At 41.4% G+C, this 14538-nt stretch overlaps 1 protein-coding gene across 11 annotated transcripts in view; it reads right to left on the minus strand.

The window, feature by feature from the left end:
• COL9A1 (collagen type IX alpha 1 chain) overlaps window positions 1–14538 on the minus strand; it is an 88024-nt gene that overhangs the window by 63695 nt on the left and 9791 nt on the right. For 5 of the 11 annotated variants that reach the window (XM_047418180.1, NM_001377290.1, NM_078485.4 and 2 more), the window contains exons 1-4: window positions 4226–4442; window positions 2635–2709; window positions 2249–2284; window positions 2057–2119 (exon numbers count right to left, since the gene is read on the minus strand). In XM_047418180.1, coding sequence (XP_047274136.1) covers window positions 2057–2119; window positions 2249–2284; window positions 2635–2709; window positions 4226–4297 — 246 coding nt within the window. In that variant the 5' untranslated portion in view covers window positions 4298–4442. Of the gene's footprint in view, window positions 1–760; window positions 866–1006; window positions 1258–1601; window positions 1951–2056; window positions 2120–2248; window positions 2285–2634; window positions 2710–4142; window positions 4164–4225; window positions 4443–4981; window positions 5066–14538 lie in introns of those variants that run through there. The other 6 variants (XM_011535429.4, XM_017010246.3, NM_001851.6 and 3 more) reach the window with 4 other exon arrangements.

A 14538-nucleotide genomic window follows, 5' to 3' on the forward strand; every position in this document is an offset into this window, starting at 1 on the left:
AAATTTACTTGAAATTGCTTTCTATGTTGTACTTCTAAAAATTTCAAAGCACTTTCATTTGTTTATCCAAAGTTTCTGTTAGAGTGGGGAAATTACTTTATAAGCAAAACCAAGGATTGTCTTTATGACACCATGGTATAAGGTAAAGAGAAGAATTTGTTGAGTAAGCTACAAAAGCACTATTAAATTGGGGGACAGATAAGTCCAGCTTTCTGTCTGACATTATATTGCAGTTTAATTAATAGCAAGACAAGGATTCAGATGACCCATTTACGCTTCAAATACCAAAATAAATTTTTGAAATACAAAATAAATATTTTATTTACCAAAATAATTTTTTTAATTTAGTCAGAAATTTTCTTTTCATCCAAAACTAAAGGCTGATTGAAATTTCAAAGGAATATAGAAATAAATTCAAGCTACATTAGGCTACCAGTTTGTTCAGTAGCCTTGAATTTGTCAGACTCTTTTTATTATGGTATGACAATTTCGATTAATTATAGATGTTCCAAAGAGTTTGATTGCCAACAAGTTATATTATTTCAGTTCATATTACATTAATACAAACGCTTGTTTGAGATTCAGTTTTTACTATCTAAATATTAGTCCTTAGGTGCCTCCTGTACTGCTAATTTGCATACACAGAAAGTTCAAACTAGGGGCTTTGAAATGTAAACCAAGATCTATTTCCTAAAATACTATGGGTGAAACCCCATCTCTACTAAAAATACAAAACTTAGCAGGGCATGGTGGAGGGCACCTGTAATCCCAGCTACTCGGGAAGCTGGAGGCTGAGGCAGGAGAATCGCTTGAACCCGGGAGGCAGAGGTTGCAGTGAGCCGAGATCGTGCCATTGCACTCCAGCCTGGGCAACAAGAGCGAAACTTCGTCTCAAAAAAAAAAAAAAAAAAAAAACACATACACATACAAAAACGCTAAATAGTATAGACACAGTATAAACAAACACATTCATTATGGGAATCCCGACAAAGAAAGCACACCTTAATAACAGTAAAAATCCAGTTATTTATTTTTCTTTCAAAATGAAGGATATGTCTTAAACTGTAGTCAAAAATTCTTGGAAATCATAATTATAGGTTTTCGAGTGCTTTCTTTCATTTAGAAAAGTCTTTAGTTTTTGGAAAACACATAAAGTGGTAACTTGAAGAGTAACTTGAGTGATGCACCATGGTATGCTAAGAACAGACGCCATTTCTTACTTCACTTCATATTCCAGGGACAAAATCAAGGACTGGTCTGTAGTGGGTCATTATTACATATTGTTAGAATGCATGGAAAGAGGAGAAGCTGAGAATCCTGAAGTCATTTTACTCTGAAGAAGTATTATTTAGTGTTAGGTTTACCATATAAGTCAGCATTTGATGGAGATGTGGGTAAACTGGAGAAAGCCTGCTGGTTCTCAATCTTCATACAGTCCTAGCCAGCTCATTTCTGCCAGTAATGCCAGCCAGAAAAACTCCATGGAAAGACGAAAATCTAGTTTTGAATTTCTAAATTCCCCGCACATCCCCACTCACTTCAAGTGCATCTTTCTTTTTCACATTCCTTGGGATTTAGGAGTGCTCTGGCCCTTTGCCTACCTGCAGGATCTTTTTCTAAATTAATGCAGGGAGTGCCGGTGAAAGAGCAAGGGCGAAGGCTAGCTTCCAGGAGCCTGCCAGTGGGCTCACAGCAGGTAAGCCGAAGCCAGTACAATCTATTGCCATCCGTACCCCCTCTGGCCCCAGTGGGGCTGAGAGTTCACAGCGTGCACTGTGAGGTCACGGTTAGAGACAGGAAGCCAGTACCCGCTGCTGTTTTCTAGGAGGAGGAAATGCCAACGCCTCCTAGAGAGAGGTATCCTCACCTTCACAAGTCCTTTTGCAAAAGCTGCCAGTTCCACGATCAATCAGGCGCTGGCAGGAGGCCAAGTTTAGAGCCACAGCGCGTTCTCTCTCTCTCTTTCTCTCTCTCCCTCCCCCCCCACAAAACACACACTTACTCGTACCCACCACACACCCCAGGCTGGGCGCCCTCCCAGCACTCGCCTACTCACATCAGCGCCAGGTGTGCCAGGCTTGCCTGGAGCTCCTGGCTTTCCCGGTTCACCTGCAGGACCCTGAGCAGGGGCAGAAGGGTGCGGGGGCAGGAGAGAAAAAGGTGCAAAGTTGAGACCCTTCAGAAACAGGGGGCTGCAAAACACGTCTAAAGGAAGGAAGTGGAGCGCCATATGCTCCAATCAACTTACCGGGGGGCCCGGGGGGCCCTTAGGACCTCGGTCACCCTGGAGGGGTAGGAGAAAAAGAGAGAGCAGTCTATGAGCGGGATAGGCTGAGGACCCCACTGGGACAATCCCAGGAGAGCTCACTTCACAGATGGGGATGGTGTAAGGGTCAAACGTGGAGGTTCATGACCAACAAGGACAACAGAGACACCTCTCCCTCCAAAAATCCCCGGGTTCCTAGGATCCTACCCCCAACTCTCGCCCATGTCTGATCCTGCCTTTAAGTGGGGTGGCAGGAAGGGGAGACCCTGGTCCTCTCTGAAAAAAAAAAAAACCCCACAGGAGCCCTGGGAAAAGAATAGGAAAGGGCAGGACTGGGGAACAGAGGTGGCCTGGAGATAGAAACTTACGTCGATGCCATCGATGCCTGGAACTCCAGGGGGGCCCGGAGGCCCGGGAGGACCCTGCTCACCCGGGGGACCTCTCTGGCAAAAATAGCAGACATAGGTTAGTGGAGCACATCGGGCAACAGGGAGCAACTGAGCGCGGTGCCCTGAAGCCCCCGCCTCCGTGGGGTAAAAGTTACCTTCCAGAGGAGGCCGGGTTTTGCAACCCAACGCAAAAATGTCTCAGACCTCCAAGCAAGCGCAGCTTTGGTCTCCGCCATATTCTAATGAGCTAAACTGTGGGGCTAGAGCAGGATTGACGCCCCCAAGGTTGGGGGAGGCTTCACTGGTTCTCACCTCTGCAGAGTGCATTAAACCCAGGAGGAGTTGTGGAAAAGGAAGGGTCTAACGCCTTTGTATCCTCAAAAGGATACAAAAATGAAAATGGGGCTCATTCGATACCTCGATTTATCAGTCATTGCAGGTCAGTGTTTTGGCCAGAATGGAACAGCCAAGAACAGAGACTCCACACCAGGATCTTTGTCCAGTAGAATGGGGAGGCGGGGCGTACACTTGAGGAAAAGATTTGGGAGGAGTAGGGCAGGGCAGCCTTGAGACCAGTGCCTGGCCTCATTTCAGTTTTACCTGCAGTGACACTCCCTCAGTCCCTTGAATTAGGTCTTTGCATCTCACTTCAAAATTACACCAAATTTCAGACTGACCCTGGGGCGTGACCCCTTTTATCGCTTGCAAACAGCTGCGTTTTGATGGTGCTAGAGGGAATGCTGGCGTCTGAAATAGTATAAACGTGTTGCTTAGGGAATGTGGGGCTGTTTTTACCCTTCTGAATTAAAAAAAGAAAAAGAAGAGACTCTTTCATCAAGGAAAACTTTGTTTTTCTAAACTCCAACGACCAAACAGGTTACAATGGGGTCTTTGTAAGTGAAACCTCAAACCTCAGCTGGGCTTATGCGCCCCCGCCGGGTCCTCCCTCGCGCAGGAGGCGGGAGGCGCTGGAGCCTTTGGGAAACTGCTGAAATGCTGATGGAAGCCAGGGCCGCCAAGTTCCGTCCCGGAGCCGCCAGCACCGCTAGCTGGACTCGGGGTTAGTGCAGCTACGGCGGGCTGGAGGAGCGGGAGAGGGAGCGTGCCTGGATTCCCGCCTTTTCCAGCAAGGCCTGCTGTTGACAGTGACCAGGAGGTGGGGCGGGGGAGGGGGTGAGGTGCGGGAAGTAAGAAGCAATAACAGGCTAAGAATTAAACCTCGGTCTCCAGTCACCTATTACCTTCAGCGCCAGAGCCTGCAGTAGGGAGGACCCAGATTGGGGAGGAGCCCCCCTTCCTAGACCAAGGGGTCATCTACGGCTCTGGACTTCGATAGGACTCGCGGCAGGTGCTCGAGGCTGGAGGAAGCGCGGGTCTGAGAGCCCTGGGGATGCTCCGCGCCTTTCTCACAGCTCCCTCGACCGCTGCGCCCCGACCTGTCCTCGTGTGCGCTTGAAAAATGCAAACACTCCCTGCCCCCAACTTACCTCGTCGGTGGTCTGGCTGGGCTGGAGAAGAAAAGATGGGGAGAAAGTGAGAAAAGCACCCCTCAAACTCGATCGCAACTTACTTGAGCCGCGCACAAGCAGAGCCCCAACAGCAGCAGCCCCAGGGCCCCGCGGTCCCGCGCAGTCCAGGCCATGCCCGCCGCCCGCCGCTAATCCCTTGGCCCGGCTCTGCAGCCTGGTTCCCCTCTAGGCTTCCAGACCCGCCACTAGCATAGGTGGCACTTCGTCCCTGCAGAAAAAGCACCCCCGGGAGTAGCGGTTGCCAAAGCGTCCAGGCCCGGGAGGCGCGCGTTCCCCCTGTTTATGAATGGCCCCGGAGAGGGTCCTGGGATTGGAGGAGAGCTAGGGGGCAGGGGAGGACGGATAGAATGACAACAGTCGCCCTTAACCCCTTCCCTGCCGCCGCACAGGCGAGGACTGAGCACGCAGCTCTGCCTCCATCCCATCCACCCCAGTGCAGCTTCTGGCTGTCCTCGGAGACTTCCCGGGTGGCCTGTGCCAGTGCTGGCCAGTAGAACTCAAGTGTTCTTGGACATGTTTGAGAGTAAGGGAGGAGGGTCCATAAGCTACCAAAGGGACAACCACACACCCGCAGGTGGTTTCTACCTGCCAGGCTGCAGGTGGTTTCTACCCGCCAGGTCGAAAGTATGAAGTGTACTTCCCTAATATTTCTCTAGTCAGTACAGCAAAGCACAGGCTCTCTTAGCGAAAGAGAGTGGGGAGGAGGGGTGCTGGGGAGGTGGCAAGATGGGAAAGTGGTGAGGTGGAGAGGGTTGAGCTGGGTAGAAGTGGCCTTTGCAGGTAGTCAGGGGACTCACCGTTATTCTGGCTGGCAGCTCATGGCAAGTTTCTCTCCTGGGCCGCAGGGGGTCACAATGGATCAGCATCCATTGAAGTTCAAACTGGAGAAAGGTAGTAGACAGTCAGGTAAGGTTTTTTGGACGACTGAAGCTGGTCATTCAAGAGAGAGATGAGTTGCGTCTAATTGTTAAATAATTGGAAATCAACTTGAACTGGTTGAGCACACTGGACCAGGACTCTTGCTTTTCCTTGAATACAAGTTTTCTAATGGAAATGGGTTGGAAGCTTTCACAAGTTTCTCTGATTATTAGGTATAGATGTCTTTAGCTTTGAATTATTTCAGCATACCCCTAGCCTGGAAACAGACCACCAGCACTGACTTTCTATTTCTGTTCTGATGACAATCTCAAGATGTAGATCCTACTAAAATGAGGTTCAGAGAGAACAGAAACGGTCCAAGTCACAAACCAATAAGTGTCAGAGTCTGGGTTGAAACCCAGGGCTATTGAACTCTACAGGGAATATATGCTGTAAGATTTTAGATGGGAGATTAGAGACAGAAAAAAAAAGTGGCAATCAGAAGGACAAGTAGAAGAAAGAAAATCTAGTCTTGGAAAAAATTTGCACACTGGAGAAGATATTCTCCGTGGAGTGGTCACAGCTTAAAATGGAAATGTAAGGACTGAAGATGAAGGCAGTGAGAAGGAAATATAAGACTCAGGAGAAAAAGATATAAAATATTTAATTTTTTATAATCTTATTCATTGGTTGAAAAGATGTAACTTTCTAGACACTTGAAATCCAAATGTGTTCTGACAACTTCTTACATTGTTAGCAGGTGTTACAGGATAAAAAAGAGGGTAGCAGGAAACAAACAGAGCAAGGAAAATGTTGCCAGGTCTGAATCTGAAAAGATCCTCAGGTGACAAGGCAAAAAAAATTAAAATGTCATATCCCATAGGAAGCCTATAGCCACAAACCATGCTGGTATCTCTTAATTAAGGAGCTTTCTGCTAGGCATTTCAAATTGGATCCATATTTCTTTGTCATTGATGTTATGCAAATGTCTGGGTAAGCATCCAGGTCCTAGATCTAAGCATTACTTCTTTTCTTTCATGCAATAGAGATTTCCATGTCATCCCACCTGCCAAATGGATTCTAGAGCTCCTAAACCTAGAATGGGAAATTACATAATTTTTTTCACTGTTTTGGAATCATCCACAGTTGAGATCACTGGACAGAAGATCAAAATTGGAGAGACAATGAAGAATGAAGTCTTTCCTTCCTACCCACAGAGGAAGGGAAAGTTTAACAAAAGGAAGTTTTGGCTAACCAGAAAACCTATATCTTTTGTTTCAATAGTTCATTAAAGTTACTTATTGCAAATGTGAGGTAATTCATTAAACTGTTTTCTCAAATATGTAATTCTCTCTGGATAAACTGGTACACCTGTTTAAATATGCAAGCTGCAATTGTGGCACAGGATAATGGGGGAATGAAATGTAATTCATCTGTGAATACAGGCTGGGTTGTTCAGAGTGCCACATAGATCAAGAGTTTCTGAACACATCTGCGCATCCACATAAACATCACCTACACGCTAATAATCATCTATACAACAACCGTTTTTTGGCATGAAATATGAATTCCAATTTGCATGCTGATTATTTTGAAGGAAGATTGGCAGAGTGCCTTGGTAAAAGTCACTTGCGTTATACATGTAAAATGCTGATTTTCACACATTTCTCATTTTCATACCTGGAATCATTCTTCTCTTTGAATACTCACTGACAAAGTATATGTGAAAAATAATTTAGTCCTTTTGGCTGGTGTGAGTACAGTGATGTTTACAACTAATTTAGTCCTTTAGTCAACATTTGTGATGTCCCAATAGAAGCCAAACACTAAGGAAACATTCTGGTGAAACCAAAGATATTCCCCTCTCCACACTGGGTTTATAATTTGCAAGACAAGAAAAATACAAGTAAATAAATAAATAAGTTTGTTTTAAATCTACTAAACAGAATATAAAATGCCCTAGCAAAAGCCATCCTTCTCAACATAAAATATTTCTCCATTGTCTCAAGGAGAAATGAGTAGTGTGTGAATGTAAGGTTCCTCACATCTGCCCAGATTTAGGATTATTCAATTATTTTCTTTTCTTTCTTTCTTTCTTTTTTATTTTTTTTAGATGAAGTCTCGCTCTGTTGCCAGGCTGGAGTGCAGTAGCACAATCTTGGCTCACTGCAGCCTCCACCTCCTGGGTTCAGGCGATTCTCCTGCCTCAGCCTCCCGAGTAGCTGGGACAACAGGCGCCCACCACCACACCCAGCTAATTTTTGTATATTTAGTAGAGACGGGATTTCACCATGTTGGCCAGGATGGTCTCGATCTCTTGACATCTTGATCCGCCTGCCTCGGCCTCCCAAAGTTCTGGGATTATAAGGTGTGAGCCACCGAATCTGGCCTATTCAATTATTTTCTATAGGACAATGTAAAGGTATAATTCAATCCTCAAGGTTACAGTAATGCCCAGCTGACAATACATTTAAGCAAGGAATTTTGGCCCCAACTCTCTATTCTTTTACCAAGGTTAACGATTTCTACTTATTTTGCCAGGTTGTTAAGAAAGATTAATAAGGTATTTAAGTCCTTCATAAGAACTAAACAAAAACTAACTGCAGACAACTATCTTTTCCTCCTGAGAGAGAATGTTAATGGCTATGAAACTTGGCTCAGTGTTAATGAGATTGGCACAAGGTTTGATTTCTGCAAACTGAATTATGATTAAATTTTACAACTATAAAACACCAAAAAACTAGCTCTTTAATAGGACAGATGTTTCATTAAGCTTTTGTCTTCAGTGACAACAAAGATTTAAAAGAATACTTGAATCCTCAGATCTCATCTTTCCTTTCAGTTTATGACCAAATGTTAGTTTATACCATCATGAAAGACCTCCTCCAAGTGAAGCTTCCTGATTACTGAGCAGGAGGCTCTGAGCTGCCTCAAAATTAGAAAATTTCCTAATTCTATGTAGACTAAACCCGGCTGTTCCAGACATAGTGCTAGGGATGTAGGCAGCACTCATATTTAACGCAATACTGTACCAAAGGCTACAGCAGAATGGTGAAAGGAGAAAGCAGTAAACTTGGAGTTAGTAGACCGGAGACATGCTCATTTATTTATTCAACGTATTTTCATATAACACATTCATGTGCTTTGGGATAGACACCATGAAAGACACAAAAATGTCTACCATATAAGGCAGTATCTAAGCAGAAAATGATTTGATGATAAATACTATAGCAGTGGAGATGACAGAAATATTTTTCTGGCTCAGGTCATCAATGAAGGGATCATATAACACGCGCATATATGTGCATGCACATATATGGGTGGGGCCCTGAAGCCCCACTTCTGTTATTATAAGCAGAGACACGGAGGGTAAAGATTAGGGTTTACATAGAGGGGTTACAACAACAAGTCCCAAGGGTAGGAAGTGGTATATAGAGAAGAGACCAAATTTGCTGGGGCAGAGTAGACATCCGATTTTTTTTTCACCTTGACTTCAGGGCTAAGGAATTTAAATATTATTTGGTATATTATTATTAAATTGTCATTGAAAGACTTTTTTTGCAAAAGATAAGGATGGGGAAAGCTTCCTTGATTTAGAGGGCATTTTGAGGAAATTCATTTGGTCATAAATGCCTAATCCTTTGAGGCAGAAGGAGGCTACCGCAGTAAAGCAACAAGAAGTGTTACACTCTGAACTATGATGAGGCATCCTAAGTTATCTGTCAGATAAAAAGAAAAATCCTCCCCACATTTTACATACCACTTCAGCTGCCATCCTCTGTTCCTCTTTACACAAAATTCAAAAAAGATGTCTACAACTACTGTCTCCAATTCTTCTCCTCATTTTCTCTTGAACCCATTCCAGTTGGGCTTTCACTCCCAACACTCCAATGGGTCTTTTCTCAAGATCACTCTCTTTGATTTCTAAATCCAATGGTCAACTACTTGACTTATCTACAGCATATGAGTCAGTTTCTTATTCTATCCTTTTTGAAATACTATTTTCCCTTGACTTTCAGGGCACCACAATCTCCTGGTCCTCTCCTATATTACAGATCCCTCCTTCTTAATCTCTTTTGACAAATGTTCCTCATCTCAGCAATCTCTAAGTGTTTTCATTTAGAGATATTTCAGGACTCAGTTCTTGGACTTCTATATTACACTTGTCTCTTGGTGATTTCCTGACTTTAAATACCATATGTATGTTGACAATTCCCAGAGTTCTATTCCCAGATGGACCTATCTGTTGAACTCCGAAAGCATATATCTGCCTATTTACCAACTTCATCTAGATGTCTAGTAACGATCAAACTAACTCCAAAACCCAAACTAACTCCTGATACTCTCCCTGACACCTGCTCTTCCCACAGCGTTTCTCATGTCAGTAAATGGCACGTCTATACTTCCAATTACTCGCGCCTAAAGTAATGGTGTCATCTTTGATTCCTCTTTTTCTCTCATACTCCAAATCCTGTTTTCCTTACCTCAAAATATATTAGGTTTGGATCACTTTGCATCACCTCCACCACTACCACCCTGGTCTAAACCAAGGCTGTCTCTGCCTGAATTATTGCAGTAGCTCTTAAGTAGCCCTTGCTCCTACACTCTTATGTCCTTCTCTCCCTTCTCCTACAATATATTATCAAAATAGCAGCCAAGGAGATCCTTTTGAAAGATGAGAACATGTTGCTTATCTGTTCAAAACCACCTGGTAGCCACCCATCTCACACAGTGTGAAAGCCAAAGTACTAACACAATTTCTCAACCACATCTCCATCATGTTACCTCTCCAACCTCAATACTTCCTTTCTTAGTCTCATTCCAGCCACACTGGCTGCCAGGGAGTTCTCAGACATCACACACCTACACCAGACCCTTTTCCACTCACTGTTCTCTTTTCCTGGAATCCTCCTCCCCCAGATATCCAGATGCTAATTCTCTCAACTTCTTCAGGTTTCTGCCAAAATATTTTCTTCTCCATGAGGCCCTCACTCAAGGCACTCCAATATCCTGCTTCATTTTTCCCCATAGCATTTATGACCACCTGGCATCCTCCACATATACTTATGTATTTACAGTATCTGTCTTCTTTACACAGAATGTAAGCGACATTGGAGCATTAATTTTTTCTGCTTTCACCACCACCTAAAATAAGGCCTGTAACTTAGCAGATGTTTAATAGTTACTGAATATTAATGAATGAGTATATAGAGATGGATAAGAAATATAGTGAAGAAAGAACTGATAGTATTTGCCTTTCTGGTTTGATCATTATTTGTGGCAATTCCCTTCCCCTGTGTGGGTTCCAGTTTCTTCATGATAAACTGAGAGGTTTGGATTAGATGCAAAGTTTCCTCCAGCTCTGAAAGCCCATGATTCTACTGACACCACACTGGAACCAAAGAAACTAACCAAGCAGAGATTAACATGAACAAAGATTTCTTTATGGTCTTAGCCCATGTATATTTTTATAGAAATAAAAATCTAATAGCACACTGATTTTTTTTATTGCAACACTATGGGCACAGCTGAGGCCAATAAAAAAATTCAGTGTTTTTAGTTTTCTATTAAAAGAAAGTTTGATCATTATTCAGTTTTTATTCTAGCTATCCACAGCCCCTACTTCCAATCATGGCTTCTGCTGTGTCACCAGCTCTAGTTCTGTGTTTCCTCATTTCATTGCCACCTAGTGGAAAATCCAGCTGAGGTTGTTAATGTGGTCTACAACGCAGCAGGCTGAGTTTCATCTCCAAAATATAAAATAAAATTGTTCTGACAGCACTCAAAACTGTTTTAATCAAATCAAAATTTTATAAAAATATTTCCTAACGATATGTATAGAAAATATTCCCATTTTTCTTTTTAATTTAATTTTTACTTCCAACTGAAAGAGTATTTGTAAAAGATGTACTTGTCAAAAACAACTTAATAAGCAGACTTAATAGTTTTATGCATAATAGATAGTATGCATTTCCTAAATCACCAGAAACACAACTTTCCAATAGTAATTCTCAAATATCAGAAATAATATTAATCACAGCCTCATAATTTATTTTTCCCATGTTATAATTCATGAAACTTATATTGTTTTTACATTTGGAAGTTAGCGTGATTCAATTCTGTGGATGGAGAAAAGTACATATAGCTTTTCCAACAACGGTTTTACCAGCTCTCACATTTTCTCTGAATCTAGTGAAAATAAACACAGAGCCACGCATTTGATAATATACTTTTTAAACCAGTAAGTCTGTCCGATTAATCACGTTCCATGTTGGCTTCTTTGGAATATGCTCAGGTAAAAAGAAGGATGGTTTGAATCATATGTTTGTTAAGCCACATAAACTTTAATCACCCCTCAAACAAGCCCAAACTCCCAGCATATATCTCTGAAAAGGGAGAAAGGCCAACTTTGTTTTCTAATAGAGCTGTACAAAATAATTCTCCTAGGCTATCATGCTGACAACAAACAATAAAGAATCTGTCATAAAATAACATGTTTTTATGGTATGCTGCCAGGAAACCAAGCTTTGCAGTGGGATAAATGGCACCATCCTAAAATATTGGCACAAAGGAGAATAAAATATATGGGATTTATTGCTTTAAAATCAAACTAACAACATATTACAGCAGTGCATTGGGAAAAAATATAAAATGCTCTGAGCCCACTAAGTAACCATGAATGATGAGAAGATGTTTGAGTGGTAGACCATGTGAACAGCTATATCACAAGCCTATGAAAACCCTTTGAAATTGGCTTCCTTTTTCAACTTAGAAAAGGAAAGGGGATGAAAGATAGGATAGGCAGGGGGAAAATAGCAAACAAGTACCATATAAGTGACTCTTAGCATCAGTGATCTATCAAATGTGGTTTCCAATTGCATTTCTTATTATGAAGTTCCTAGGGTTACTTTTTGACATCTGATAATCCCTTTAGAAGGGATATTTTGCTTTTGATTTATTTACTAAAGAAAAGCAAGATTCGACTCTGAAAAAAGTATTCAATTAATGTAGAGTGTCAAAGATTAGAATGAATGCAATTGCATGAAGGAAAATGTAAAACCACACTTTTTCTTATTGTTTTTATGGTATTTTTATGCTATTTCATTTTCATTTAAAATTTCTAACATAGTAATATTGAATATTTGCCATCTCCAAATTGAGAGAAGGGTGATCTATCAGTATAGTTCTTCTGCCTCTCAGAATATGTCCATATCACTACCCATCACTCTCTAAGTCTTCTAAGGGACAGGTAGTCATTGTTCATCTTCAGCAATTGTCAGCAACTTCAGATTTCAACCAAACTGGTGAGAATTCTAAGAAAATAGGCCATAAAATTAAAACAAGGGACTAAGGACAACTCATGGACACACAGGCTTTGTCTATGGGTTTCTATGAGTGTTTGACTACCTTCAGTTTTCAAAAATGAGGAACAAAATGGGAACACTAACAAAGCTTGAAAAGGGAAGAACTGACCCATCTGGGAATTTCCAAATGAGAGTCCATCTGTCTGAAACATTGTACCTTGTCTTCTCCTAGATGATGTTTTCATCCCCAGGACTCCTTTCAGACATCAAATCCCTTAGGAAACATCCCTGGCCCCCACTCTCATGCCTCCCTGCTCTTATCTGAGTGAGGAGATTTTTTTCTATGTGCTTCTTAGCATGCAGCACTGGCCACTATCATGGTCCTTATCATGCTATATTGTGATGATTGTTTACTTGTCTCAACTCCTTGTTCTCAACAGACTGAAGAAAAAGTCTGTGATTTATTTCTCTTTGTATGCCCAATATTTACATACTCAATGAAAGTTTACTAGGTAAATAAGCAAGTTGGATTAATGTCTGAAGACATGTTTTATACTGTACAAACTTCTCACTTTTTAAAAATTTATTTGGTTTTTCCTGCAAAGTAAATTCTGAAGGAAAATCACAAATGCCTTTCGAAGTAAGAATAATGAGATTCTTTATAAGGAAAAATATGTGGTTGCATATATTTTTCTTTTTCCCAAAGGAAAGCTAGTTGGCATAGCAGAAGATAAGGTAGATTAGAAATGTTGTGCCTAACACTATTTCTTACAAGTTAATAGATCTGTATGAGTTCACTTCCTCAGCTGAGAAATGGAGATAATGCTATCTCTACTTTCCATCTTACAAGGTTGTTGCAAGAATCAAATAAGTTAATGGGAATAAAAGCATTTCAAAAACTTTGAATTGGTATATTAAGCATATTAAGATGATGTTTTAAAAAAGTGTAAGTTGGCTTTCCTTACATAGTGTTCTAATTCTTAAAATGAAGTTTGAGAAATACATTTTGGTGAGAAGTTTGAATTTCACATTGTCACTTCCAGTTGTTAAATGTGGATAGGATTGTTTTGGCCTATAACCTTGATCTAGTTTAGCTATCATTGTCACTGTCACACCTCCACCATCATCAGCCAATGAGGAATGTTAATGGGCTGTTAGGCTCAAGTCTTTTTTGTGTTTCCTGATAAGGGAGTCAGAATTCAGTCTGAAGGAAGACACTTGTACATGATGATTTCAAATATTTTTCACATTGGCTATGGTATACTGATTTAGAAAAGCTCCTTGGTGGACCAGAATCAGAATGTAAAACCAGCTGCCAGGTTTCTGGTTACACTCCTGCATGTGGTAGAATAAAATAGAAAGTAATTGGTACTAACCGGTCTCCACTGTGATGTGAGAATAGAGTTGGCAGAAAAATCTACAATCAGCTCTGACATTATTGGCAAGGCTATAGTATAATGAAGTAATAGTGAGACTTTAGCTTACTGCTCTGGCAATAAGACAATTTAATAGCATCTTAGCTCACAGAATTTAGTGTTATAAAGACAAGTATTTTTAATCCAATGAATAAATAAATAAATGTTTAAAATACTTGACTGATGTTTGTAACAGTGAGGAAGTAACCTAAAGTATCTTCCCCTTCACCCGTGGCCCAGAAATGAACAGCTATTTGCAGAAGTTCAGTGTTGTCTGAGAACCTTTCCAGTGTCATTGCAAAGATCTTGCTGCACAGAATTTCAAGATGGCATAACAGTAGTCCAATCGGCTTTCTAACTCAGCCACTTGAGGTGTGATAACTCATTAAATGAAGAAATACTTTTTCAAGAGTCTACAAGCCAGAGCAGTAACACGGCAGTTACAAATTGCTTCCCGTCCATCACAGAATATAGAAATTTCACACTACCCTTCACACTAATCACAATTCTTCCCTTGAAAACAAGTTATTTGAACAATTCCATTACTGAAATCCCTGATAACCTTTTCTTCTTTGGAGACATGCACAGAAACAATTTGAAATCATTGTATCACCCTGCTACACTCCGTGATATGGGTTTTGTGACTAGAATTTAACAGCTCCGTGCTAGTATGAGAGAAAGAGAGAGAGAAAGAGAGGTTGGCCTCAAGATTTATTTGTTGAGCTCTAAATTCCTTTGTTTCCTTCAAAAGAACACTTGTCCTCTAAGACATATTTT

Source organism: Homo sapiens, chromosome 6 (assembly GCF_000001405.40).
Source record: "Homo sapiens chromosome 6, GRCh38.p14 Primary Assembly".
Classification (NCBI taxonomy): Eukaryota; Metazoa; Chordata; class Mammalia; order Primates; family Hominidae; genus Homo; species Homo sapiens.